This window comes from Homo sapiens, chromosome 1 (assembly GCF_000001405.40).
Source record: "Homo sapiens chromosome 1, GRCh38.p14 Primary Assembly".
NCBI classification, from domain to species: domain Eukaryota; kingdom Metazoa; phylum Chordata; class Mammalia; order Primates; family Hominidae; genus Homo; species Homo sapiens.
Window position 1 is genome coordinate 9,981,868 of NC_000001.11, and position 13,007 is coordinate 9,994,874.

Genomic DNA, 13,007 nt, shown 5'->3' on the forward strand with positions numbered 1-13,007 from the left:
TTTTTTTTTTTTTGAGACAGAGTTTTGCTCTTGTTGCCCAGGCTGGAGTGCGATGGCACAATCTCGGCTTACTGCAACCTCTGCCTCCCGAGTTCAAGTGATTCTCCTGCCTCAGCCTCTCAAGTATCTGGGGTTACAGGCGTGCGCCACCACACCCGGCTAATTTTGTATTTTTAGTAGAAACGGTATTTCACCATGTTGGTCAGGCTGGTCTCAAACTCCTGACCTCAAGTGATCTACCCGCCTCGGCCTCCCAGAGTGCTGGGATTACAGGCTAGAGCCACCGCACTCGGCCTAAGCCCTCATCCTTGAAAAGCACATACGTATCTTCATTTTGATACAGTGGGTTATTAGAAAAGTAAACCCCTTTCCACTTGGAGGAGGTAGAGGGGAAGAAAAAGCATACCCCAAAGCTCTGTTTTATTCTTCCCAGCTGTGCCAAAGGTCAAGCTGCTGTGTGGGGCAGATTTATTGGAGTCCTTTGCTGTTCCCAATTTGTGGAAGAGTGAAGACATCACCCAAATCGTGGCCAACTATGGGCTCATATGTGTTACTCGGGCTGGAAATGATGCTCAGAAGTTTATCTATGAATCGGATGTGCTGTGGAAACACCGGAGCAACATTCACGTGGTGAATGAATGGATCGCTAATGACATCTCATCCACAAAAATCCGGAGAGCCCTCAGAAGGGGCCAGAGCATTCGCTACTTGGTACCAGATCTTGTCCAAGAATACATTGAAAAGCATAATTTGTACAGCTCTGAGAGTGAAGACAGGAATGCTGGGGTCATCCTGGCCCCTTTGCAGAGAAACACTGCAGAAGCTAAGACATAGGAATTCTACAGCATGATATTTCAGACTTCCCATTTGGGGATCTGAAACAATCTGGGAGTTAATAACTGGGGAAAGAAGTTGTGATCTGTTGCCTAAACTAAAGCTTAAAAGTTTAGTAAAAATCGTCTGGGCACAGTGGCTCACGCCTGTAATCCCAGCACTTTGGGAGGCTGAGGCAGGTGGATCACGGGGTCAAGAGATCGAGACCATCCTGGCCAATATGGTGAAACCCCATCTCTACTAAAAATACAAAAATTAGCTGTGTGTGGTGGCACGTGCCTGTAGTCCCAGCTACTTGGGAGGCTGAGGCAGGAGAATCACTTGACCCCAGGTGGTGGAGGTTGCAGTGAGCCAAGATTGCACCATTGCACTCCAGCCTGGCGACAGAGCAAGACTCTGTCTCAAAAAAAAAAAAAAATTTAGTAAAAATCAATGGTAAGCTAAAATAAGTTTTTGTTTGTTTATTTGTTTTTGAGATGGAGTCTCTACTAAAAATACAAAAAATTAGCCAGGCATGGTGCCGCATAACTATAATCCCAGCTACTTGGGAGGCTGAGGCAGGAGAATCGCTTGAACCCGGGAGGCACAGGTTCCAGTGAGCCAAGGTTGTGCCACTGCACTCCAGCCTGGGCAAAAAAGCAAAACTCCATCTCAAAGAGAAAAAAAAAAAAGACCGGGTGTGGTGGCTCACACCTGTAATCCCAGCACTTTGGGAGGCCTAAGTGGGTGGATCACGTGAGGTCAAGAGTTCAAGACCAGCCTGGCCAATATGGTGAAACCCCATCTCTACTAAGAATACAAAAAATTAGCTGAGCATGGTGGTGGGCTCCTGTAGTCCCAGCTACTTGGGAGGCTGAGGCAGGAGAATCGCTTGAACCTGGGAGGCAGAGGTTGCAGTAAGCCAAGATCGTGCCATTGCACTCCAGCCTGGGTGACAGAGCGAGACTCCATCTCAAAAAAAAAAAAAAGCCTGACAGCTAGCAGGTTTCAGGATCCATCTGCCAAGTTAGTGAAAGGCTGGAGCCTCAAATCATACAGATGAGGGTCATTTTCTCCTCCTTAGCTTCTTGGAGTTTAAGAGTTGAAGGAGTCCTGAAAAGTAATGATAGAGCAAGATGAAGCTATCAGAACTGAATTTGGACTTCCTCTGGGAAACTACACCTAGTTCATCTGAAGTGTCACGTAAACTGCAGAAAGTTTCCAATGCTGGAAACTTCTCTCATACTATCGTGCCTTCCTACTCAGAAGTGCCTGTGCCCTGCTCAGCTGTGACTACTGACCTCAGGACCTCACTGGACAAGGCATGTGGGGACCCTTGCAGGAGCCCTGGTAAGGGTACAATGATCCTATTGTTTTTTGTTTTTGAGATGGAGTCTCACTCTGTCTCCCAGGCTGGAGTGCAGTGGTGCGATCTCCGCTCACTGCAACCTCCGCCTCCCGGGTTCAAGCAATTCTCCTGCCTCAGCCTGCTGAGTAGCTGGGATTACAGGCACCCACTACCATGTCCGGCTAATTTTGTATTTTTAGTAGAGATGGGGTTTCGCCATGTTAGACAGGCTGGTCTTGAACTCCTGACCTCAGGTGATCTGCCCACCTCGGCCTTCCAAAGTGCTGGGATTACAGGCATGAGCCACTGCACCCAGCCTGATCCTATTGTTGCACTATTTATGGAGCAACAACTTTGTACAAAGAACAAGCTTTGTACAGAGAACAAGCTTGGCTTTTTCTCCCAACGCCGAGGATGCTGTTGATGCTGCCACGTAATAGCATAATTTTGGGTGTCCTCAAGGACAGAACTTCCACTTTGAATAATGGAAGTTAGAACAATGAATTTCACAGGGGAATAAATATTAATGACTGACGTGAAGAAAATATGCCATTGTTTATTCCCTCCTGCATCATTTCCATAATTTGCTTTTGTACTGTCAATTTAGAGGAAATGTGTGATGCTGGTGTTTTGTTTGGCCTGTTTGTTTGATGCTGGGGGTTTTATGTGTTGTACCCTTTACCCCTTACATTGTGTAATTTGAAAGTGGCAAACAAACCTGCAGTAAAAGTCCTTGATTGGCATCTTCATTCGGATGATGGAGAGCCTTTGTGGTAGTGTTTGCTTATGTGAACAGCAGGCCTTTCAGATAAGAGAAGTGGCTTTTCCTTGGTGATGAAGGGGTAGAGATTGAGCCATGGGGATGGTTTAGGTTAAAGAATGCTTTTTTTTGGCCATCATGAGGATCTAACAACAGAGTAGAAGGAAGGATGCCCTAGGTCAGCATGCAGGGTGGTGGGAGGGCTTTCATCTTCCTTACCCAAGCCTCTCTTTTCACTTTTCTAGAAGTCCAGAAGTTGTTATATGATGAAATAGCCTCCTTTAACGTTTATTTCTGGGTGCCAACGGAGGCCCATTCCTCTAACATTCTCATAATTTTTCTCAAAGGCCTATGATCTAAACATTTCACCACGGCATCCACTCAGCTGTGAGGCTGCGTACACAGTCTCCACCTCTGAAATCTGAACTTCGTTTACCAGTGGTGCTGTTTGAACTTCATAATGTCAGCACTTCCTGAACACTTACTGTGTGCTTGGCTTGTGCTCCTGAGTGCCTTATATCATAAGGAAACGGCAAAATCAGGGGACTGGTATAAATGGTGAGCTGAGCTTGAATCTAAGCTTTGTCTTCAGAGCCAGTACCCCTAATCTCTCTTTCTGTAAAATATTACTTTTCAAAGAATGAAGTTGTAGCCAAATCTTGAAATTTTTCATTTACCCTAAGTGAGGACAAATAAAGCTTTCAACAACAGTTTGTGGTAGTCTGATGGAGATGAGTCCGACGTATTCAGTCCTCACGGAAGGACTAGGCTGAACTTGCCCAGTGTTAGCAATTCCTTGGAACTAGAACAGTGGAATCCGAGGGAGAAGGTGATATGGGCCATAATTAACTTTTGTGTTTGTGTGTGTGTGTATGTGTGTGTGTGTTTGCTTCTGAGACAGTTTTGCTGTGTCACCCAGGCTGGAGTGCAGTGGCACAGTCTCGGCTCACTGCAACCTCTGCCTCCTGGGTTCAAGCAATTCTCCTGCTTCAGCCTCCCAAGGAGCTGGGATTACAGGCGTGTGTTACCACGCCTGGCTAATTTTTGTATATTCAGTAGAGACAGGGTTTCACCGTGATGGCAAAGCTGGCCTCAAATGATCCGCCCACCTTGGCCTCCCAAAGTGCTGGAATTACAGGTGTGAGCCATCACGCTCTGCCCAGATAGGGTTTTTGACCTGTCATAGTGGTGCCTGGTCCCATTATTCTCTGTTTTGACTCTGCAGGGATGATCACTGTCCCCTTGCTATCCTTTAATGAAACTGTCACCTCGGTTTCAGAACTGGAATTCAGATCCATTTCTCCCTCACGTGTCTTACCAAGTCTAAATGACTTGCCGTGGACAGTATTTCCCAAATCAAGTTAAGCCGCCCAATAAATTTTTCCAAAACAATGGATAACCTGACAATTACATTGTAAAACATTAGGGAAAATAGCAAACACACAAAATTAGTGGTAATAGTATAATGAGCCCCTACGTACCCATTAACTTCAAGCATAACATTTTGCCAATCTTCATCTACACCTGTTTTGTTTTGCTGGAGTCTTTTAAAGCAAATCCCAAATGTGTAATTTTACCCATAAATACTTCAGTGTGAGGAATGCTAGAGTCCAATTTGTACATTAATACAAGTATATCAGCTAGCGCCGGCGTGGTGGCTCAGCCAGGCTTGGTGGCTCACATCTGTAATCCCAGCACTTTGGAAGGCCAAGGTGGAAGGATTGCTTGAGCCCAGGAGTTCAAGAACAGCCCGCGTAACATAGCAAGATCCTATCTTTAGAAAAACAAACAAATAAACAAAAAACATGTACTGGCTGGGCACAGCGGCTCATGCCTGTAATCTTAGAAATTTGGGAATCAGAGGCAGCAGATTGTTTGAGCCCAGGAATTCTAGACTAGCCTGGGCAACATGGCAAAACCCTGTCTCTACCAAAAATACAAAAATTAGCTGGGTGTGGTGGTGTGCGCCTGTAGTCCCAGCTACTCAGGAGGCTGAGGTGAGAGGATGGTTTGAGCACAGGAGGCGGAGGTTACAGTGAGCTGAGATTGCGCCATTGCACTCCAGCCTGGGTGACAGAGCCAGACCCTGTCTCAAAAAACAAAACAGGGCTGGGCATGGTGGCTCAGCCTGGGCACAGTGGCTCACACCTGTAATCCCAGCACTTTGGGAGGCCAAGGTGGGTGGATCACCTGAGGTCAGGAGTTCAAGACCAGCCTGGCCAACATGGTGAAACCCTGTCTCTACTAAAAATACAAAAAATTATACGGGCGTGGTGGCGGGCACCTGTAATTCCAGCTACTTGGGAGGCTGAGGCAGGAGAATTGCTTGAACCCAGGAGGCAGAGGTTGCAGTGAGCCCTGATCATGACACTGCATTCCAGCCTGGGCAACAAGAGCAAAAACTCCCTCTCAACAAACAAAAACAAAACAAGTGTACTAAGTCCAGTGCGGTGGCTCACACCTGTAATCCCAGCACTTTGGAGGCCAAGACAGGAGGAGCACTTGAGCCCAGCATGAGCAACAGAGTGAGACCCTGTGTCTACAAAAATTTTTTTAAAAATTAGCCAGGCAGCAGGGCGCAGTGGCTCACGCCTGTAATTCCAGCACTTTGGGAGGCCGAGGAGGGCAGATCACAAGGTCAGGAGATCAAGACCATCCTGGCTAACACAGTGGAACCCCGTCTCACTAAAAATACAAAAAATTATCCGGGCGTAGGTGGCGGGTGCCTATAGTCCCAGCTACTTGGGAGGCTGAGGTAGGAGAATGGCGTGAACCCAGGAGGCAGAGCTTTCAGTGAGCCGAGATTGTGCCACTGCACTACAGCCTGGGTGACAGAGCAAGACTCCGTCTCAAAATAAATAAATAAATAAATTAAATTAAATTAAATTAAATTAGCCAGGCATGGTAGCTTGTGCATGTAGTCTGAGCTACTTGGGAGGCTGAGGTGAGAAGATTGCTTGAGCCTGGGATCTGGAGGCGTAGTGAGCTGTGATTACCCCACTGCACTCCAGCCTGTGTAGCTGAGACCCTGTTTCAAAAAAAATGAAATAGTGCAGCTAAAAGTATCAATGTCACCAAAGCAGAAGACCCAAGTCTCCAGCCACACTTTTGTTGAGACAATAGTATTCATAAAGTGATTTTCAAAATTTTTATTTACTTACTTATTTCCCACTTCATAAGCTGGTCTAGCATGAAGTATGGTTTTTTTAGTTGTTGTTGTTTTTTTTGAGACAGAGTCTTGTTCTGTCACCCAGGCTGGATTGCAGTGGCACGATCTCAGCTCACTGCAACCTCCACCTCTCAGGTTCAAGAAATTCTCCTGCCTCAGCTTCCCGAGTAGCTGGGATTATAAGCGCACACCACCGTGCCCAGCTAACTTTTGTATTTTTAATAGAGACAGGGTTTCTCCATGTTGGCCCGGCTGATCTCAAACTGACCTCAAATGATCCACCTGCCTTGGCCTCCCAAAGTGTGGGGATTACAGGTGTGAGCTATCACACCCAACCAAAGTAGTATTTTATTTAACATTTATATCTTCAGCAACTTAAGCATGTTCGAAACTGAACCATAATTTTGCTCTCAAATGGATAAATAATCATAAGAAAGCTGCTTAAGAAGAAAGGGTACCTTGGCTGGGTGTGATGAATCATGCCTGTAATCCCAGCACTTTGGGAGGCCAAGGCATTTGGATCACCTAAGGTCAGGAGTTCGACACCAGCCTGGCCAACATGGTGAAACCCCGTCTCTAATAAAAGTACAAAAATATTAGCCAGGCATGGTGGCAGGCACTTGTGGTCCTAGCTACTCAGGAATCTGAGGCAGGAGAATTGCTTGAACCTGGGGAGGCAGAGGTTACAGTGAGCCAAGATCGCGCCACTGCACTCCAGCCTGGGTGACAGAGCGAGACTCCATCTCAAAAAAAAAAAAAAAAAAAAGGGTACCTTGATTTTTTTTTTTTTGAGATGGTCGCAGGTTCAAGTGATTCTCGTGCCTCAGCCTTCTGAGTAGCTGGGATCACAGGCGTGTGCCACCACACCCAGCTAATTTTTGTATTCTTAGTAGAGATGGGGTTTTGTCATGCTGGTCTCTAACTCCTGGCCTCAAGTGATTCTCCCACTTCTGCCCCTCCAAGTGCTGGAATTACAAACATGAGCCTCTGTGCCCAGCCAAAAGTACCTTGATTTTATTTATGATATTGCTAAGGAAAGGAGGCAGAGAAATTCTGGGCAGAAGAGGGTGGGTCCCCAATGAGGGCTCCCCACCTGGAGCTGAAAAGCCTGATACTATGGCCCAAAGTGAGCATTTACATCCCTGTTTGCCCTCTTGAAAGTTGCCTTTTCCATAACTACCCATGGCCCACCCCCCATCCTGTGCCCATGAAAACCCCAGGCTCAGCTGGGCACAGTAGCCTGTAACCCTAGCACTTTTGGAGGCCAGGGCGGGCAGATCACTTGAGGTCAGGAGTTCAAGACCAGCCTGGCCAACATGGCGAAACCCCACCTGTACTAAAAATACAAAAATTAGCCAGGCATGGTGGCGGGCGCCTGTAATCCCAGCTACTCAGGAGGCTGAGGCACGAGAATCACTTCAACCCAGGAGGCGGAGGTTGCACTGAGCCAAGATCGCGCCACTACACTCCAGCCTAGGTGATAGAGCAAAACTCAGTCTAAAAAAAAAAACCAAGCTCAGCCAGCAGAGAGTGGAGAAGCAGCTGGATATTGGAGACTACGGTTGGACGGCAGAAATAAGTGGCTTGACTTCAGAGGGACAGCTTCATGGTGTAGCTTTGAAGAGGAGTCCAGCCAGGGACGGCTGGACTTCAGGGGAAGATTACCTTCTTGCTCCATCCTCCTTTCAGCTCCTCTTCCCACTGAGAGTCACTTTCATTGGCAATAAATTTCCATGCATTTACCATCTTCAATTCATTTGTGCTACCTCATTCCTCCTGGACACTGGACAAGAACTTGGGTACCACAAGTGCGGGTACAAAAGCCTGTCACACTGACCCTCCACTGAGCTGTTAACACTTAAGCTGTCCACAGCAAAGCTAAAAGGGCATTGTAACACCCCTTCTGGGGCTTCAGGGGTTGCAGGCACCCTCACCAGATGCTGCTGCGGGGCCCACACAAAGTTTTGCTCCTTCAGGTGCCCAAAAGCACTTGCCCCAGCTCCTGCACCCGCTCACCTGCATGCTCCGCCTCCCATAAGGGGTGGAACACAGCAGGTCCAAGTGAGTGGAATGGCCCCTGCCAGCGCCAAAGTGGCTGGCTAGTTCCAGCGCCCCTGCATTCCAGTTCCTGCCAATGAAGGGGTCAGGGAAATACCCTGCTTCAAAATGTATCAGAATTTTTTTTCATTGCAAGTAGCAGGAAGCTCAACTCAAAGTGATCTAAACACGGACATCTATACTCAGAAGTACAGACATAGGGCAGAATGGAAGGTGTGTAGGTTTGTAGGTGCTGTGAGTCAACACTGTCATCGGGGACCCGGGTTCTTTCCATCCCTCTACACTTCCAGTCACAGTGTCTTAAATCTAGTGCCCTTGAGTTATAGGAGGGTCACCAGTAGCCAGGCTTCCTAGTTCATGTTCAGGAGTGACTCCTCATGGCTCCCCATGGCTCTGTTAAAATCAAAGAAACATCTTTTCCAACAGCCCTTTCAAACTCCTCATCGCATCTCACTGGCTGATTCAGTCATTTAAACCTGCTTCTCCCTAAAGCTGATCACTGGCTAAGCTAATAGGGTTTCCGGGATTGGTTTAGCCTGATACTAATCCAGGTCTACCTTCAGGAGCCAGACCAAACTGCCTATTGGCATTGCATTCTTGCAGTAGGGAGGGGAGGTATGGATGGTGTGGAGTCCACCACAAGGTCCATGCCAGTCTTTGCTGAACCAGCATCAGACTCCATCAAGCAACAGATGAGAGGTTCCATGATAAAGTGGCCCTCAGCAATCCCCATCCATTGCTGTCTAGGAAGAACAGTGCTTGTACACAGGTTTAGGACCTCAGTCTTGGCTGTAATCTTCTGGTTTACTTTGCCAGCACCAAACAGAAGGAAAGAAAGGGCTCAAATTTGACCAAATAAATTATGCTTCTCCTTCCAGAGATAACCTTGAGTCCTGTCTAGGAAGATATTAGAATTGTAAAGAAAAAAAAAATTACTCCTTATCCTATGGCAAGTGGAGTCTATGTCTACTTCAGCTGAAATTAAATCCTGTCCATAATAGATGACCCTTGCTCAAGCTGGCCAGAAGCCATACCAACCAGCACGAAGGTTAAAACTATTATTAGTTTTTTCTGTGATTTTCATTTTCAGGCCAAGTTTTAGAACAATAAGATTTTAAGAATAGGAAGTAAGTAAGATTTCTGCATATCCTGTTCTCTTAGTCAGCTGAATTTTTTTTTTTTTTTTTTTAGACAAAGTCTTGCCTCTTCACCCAGGCTGGAGTGCAATGGTGCAATCTCAGCTCACTGCAACTTCTGCCTCCCGGGTTCAAGCAATTCTCTTGCCTCAGCCTCCCCAGTAGCTGGGATTACAAGCCTGGCTAATTTTTGTTTTTAGTAGAGATGGGATTTCACCCTGTTGGCCAGGCTGGTCTTGAACTCTTGACCTCAAGTGACCTTCCTAACTCAGCCTCCCAAAGTGCTGGGATTACAGGCGTGAGCCACCGCACCAAGCCTGGAATCTATGTCTTACAGTTATGAGAATCAACAGCTAGCTCATTATGGGCAAGGTGATGTCACTCTGGCTTCTCAATGAAAATGGCATTTCTCCCTTGGAAAAGGTCATAGCCAGTCAGTCAGTCAGTCAACAAACATTTATTGAGTACTTACCAGGCACTGTGCTAGACCCTGGAGATACAGGAGTGGTGAATGAAATCAACATGGGCTCTGCCCTGGAAAGCTTCATGGAAAAGGCAGTCAATAAAAAAGAAAAAAGATAATTATGGATTATAATAATGATAAAGGACGTAAGCAGAGATGTGATGTGGAGTAAGTGTGTATTAGGAGCATATAGGAAGGCTGTTCTGAGAAGATGGCTCTCAAGTTCTTGAAGATATCCAAGTACTTTTCTGTCCACATTCTAAACCAACTGAAAAATAAGACGAAAAAAAAAAGCAACAAAAGGGCTGAGCACAGTGCCTCACGCCTGTAATCCCAGCTACTCTAGAGGCTGAGGCAGGAGAATTTCTTAAACCTGGGAGGCAGAGGTTGAGCCACCCCACTCCAGCCTGGGTGACAAAGCGAGACTCTGTCTCTAAATAAATAAGTAAGTAAATAAATACTTTAGGTTTAGATTTTTTTTTTTTTTTGAGACGGTCTCAGTCTGTCATTCAGGCTGGAGTGCAATGGTTCCATCACGGCTGACTGCAGCCTCGACCTCCCAGGTTCAAGCGATCGTCCCACCTCAGTCTCCCGAGTAGCTGGGACTACAGGTGCATACCACCACACCCAGCTAGTTTTTTTATTTTTTATAGAGACAGGACATTGCCATCTTGCCCAGGCTGATCTCAAAATCCTGGGCTCAAATGATCCTCCCTCCTCGGCCCCAAAATGCTGGGATTACAGGCATGTGCCACCACGCCCAGCCTAGGATTATAATTTTTTTATAGATTACCTCTACCTAGTTGACGAAAACGGTTCAGTGGCTGTTGCCCCGAGAGCAAGCATTCATCCCAGTTTACCAGGGGCTTTTCCAATGTTAGCAGCAAGAGTTCCATGTCCCAGGCACTCCTTCAGTCCTAGTTGTTCCAATCCTAAGAGGATGAGCAGAGGCCAGGGGCGTTTAGGGACAATTCCTCTCCATGGAGACCATGACTAGAAAAGACTGTACCCCTATGGCCGGGCGTGGTGGCTCACGCCTGTAATCCCAGCACTTTGGGAGGCCGAGGTGGGTGGATCACAAGGTCAGGAGATCGAGACCTTCCTGGCTAACACAGTGAAACCCCATCTCTACTAAAAAATACAAAAAATTAGCTGGGTGTGGTGGCGGGTGCCTGTAGTCCCAGCTACTCAGGAGGCTGAGGCAGGAGAATGGTGTGAACCCAGGAGGCGGAGCTTGCAGTGAGTGGAGATCGCACCAATGCACTCCAGCCTGGGCAACAAAGCGAGACTTGGTCTCAAAAAAGAAGAAAAAGAAAAGAAAAGACTGTACCCCTAATAGTGACTTTTGAGCTGGAAGCCAAAGGAGCTAACCAGGCAAAAACTAGGAGGAAAAACATCTCAGAAAGAGGAGACACCAAATACCAAGACTCTGAAGGAAAGGGTGTGATGTGATTAGAGGAACTGAGTTGGGGGAGACAGGATGTACTGCTGGTGGAGGAGTAGCCAGGAGCCAAACCAGGAAGGACTTTGTGAACCTAACCATGAGAGAGAGTGCAAATTTCCTTTTAAGAAAAACAGGACAGGCCAGGAGCGGTGGCTCGCACCTGTAATTCCAGCACTTCAGGAGGCCTAGGTGGGTGGATCACCTGAGGTCAGGAGTTCGAGATCAGCCTGACCGATACGGTGAAACCTCATCACTACTAAAAATATAAAAATTGGCCGGGTGTAGTGGCATGCGCTTGTAGTCCCAGCTACTCGGGAGGCTGAGACAGAATTGCTTGAATTCAGGAGGTGGAGGTTGCAGTGAGCCAAGACTGTGCCACTGCACTCCAGCCTGGGCAACAGAACAACACCCCATCTCAAAAAAAAAAAGAAAAGAAAAAAGAAAGACAGGACAATACTGAAGGGCTGTAAGCAAGGAGTGAGAAGATCTGAATTACATTCCTTAAAAGCTTGCCGGGGCTGCGTATGGAGAATTGTTTTGAGGGACTCAGAAGGGAAGCAGCAGGTCCAGATGAAAGATTTTTATAAGTGGTCCTGGCAAGAGATGATGGGGACTTGGGTTAAGATGGTAGAACCAAGAGGACTTGCTGAGGGACTGGATTTTGGCCAGCAGAGAAGATGGAAATTCACAAATCTACTGGATTCTTAGCTTGAGCATCCAGGGGCCTAATGGAATGTATGGAGATAAGGAGAGCTGGAAAAAATTTTGTTCTTACACTTTCTAGCTTAGCTGCGTCAAGTTTCAGATGCCTTTAAGATAGCCAAGTGGAGACGTCAAGTAGGAGGCGAGAGGTGGCACTGAACGTGCAGGCAGGTTACCTGGGTTTGAATCCAGACTCTGCCAACTATATGACCTCGGGCAAGTTAGTTAACCTCTCTATGCCTCAGTTTTTAGCTCTGTCAAAGGGAGTTAATAAAATAACTATTGGAGAAGTAGGATTTTGCAACAAATAATAATACACATAGCACTCAACAAATGTTAGCTTTTTTTTTTTTTTTTTTTTTTTTTTTTTGCAACAGAATCACTCCGTCTCCCAGGCTGGAGTGCAATGGTACAATCTCTGCTCACTGCAACCTCTGCCTCCCGGGTTCAAGTGATTCTCCTGCCTCAGCCTCTCCAGGAGCTGAGACTACAGACGTGTGCCACCACACCTGACTAACTTTTGTATTTTTTTAGTAGAGACGGGGTTTCACCATGTTAGCCAGGCTTGTCTCAAACTCCTGACCTCAGGCAATCCACCCATCTCAGCCTCCCAAAGTGCTGGGATTACGAACGTGAGCCACTGTCCCCAGCCAAATGTTAGCTTTTATTTTTTATTTTATTATTTTTGAGACAGAGTTTGGCTCGTGTTGCCCAGGCTGGAGTGCAATGGCACGGTCTTGGCTCACTGCAACCTCTGCCTCCTGGGTTCAAGCGATTCTCCTGCCTCAGCCTCCCACGTAGCTGGGATTACAGGTGCCCGCCACCATGCCTGGCTAATTTTTTGTATTTTTTGTATTTTTTTTTTTTTTTGAGACGGAGTCTTGCTCTGTCCCCCAGGCTGGAGTGCAATGGCGCGATCTCGGCTCACTGCAAGCTCCGCCTCCTGGGTTCACGCATTCTCCTGCCTCAGCCTCCCGAGTAGCTGGGACTACAGGTGCCCGCCACCACGCCCGGCTAATTTTTTTGTATTTTTAGTAGAGACAGGGTTTCACCATGTTAGCCAGGAAGGTCTTGATCTCCTGACCTCGTGATCTGCCCGCCTCAGCCTCCCAAA

The 13,007-nt window shown here is 47.0% G+C and overlaps 1 protein-coding gene across 6 annotated transcripts in view, besides 1 other annotated feature; it reads left to right on the forward strand.

Annotated features, from left to right (window-relative positions):
• The window catches only part of NMNAT1 (nicotinamide nucleotide adenylyltransferase 1), a 53,970-nt gene that overhangs the window by 38,945 nt on the left and 2,018 nt on the right, over nucleotides 1-13,007 (forward strand). For 4 of the 6 annotated variants that reach the window (NM_001297778.1, XM_017002107.3, NM_022787.4 and 1 more), the window contains exon 5: nucleotides 434-3,631. The exons of 1 other annotated variant lie outside the window; for it this stretch is intronic. In NM_001297778.1, coding sequence (NP_001284707.1) covers nucleotides 434-834 — 401 coding nt within the window. In that variant the 3' untranslated portion in view covers nucleotides 835-3,631. Of the gene's footprint in view, nucleotides 1-433; nucleotides 3,632-13,007 lie in introns of those variants that run through there. One more of the 6 variants, XM_011541971.2, reaches the window with a different exon arrangement.
• Nucleotides 9,404-9,698: a silencer, noted in NCBI's record as "tiled region #14190; K562 Repressive non-DNase unmatched - State 21:Repr". NCBI's record gives its function as "represses a minimal TATA promoter and a strong SV40 promoter by Sharpr-MPRA in K562 cells {active_cell/tissue: K562}" and the evidence as "EXISTENCE:reporter gene assay evidence [ECO:0000049][PMID:27701403]".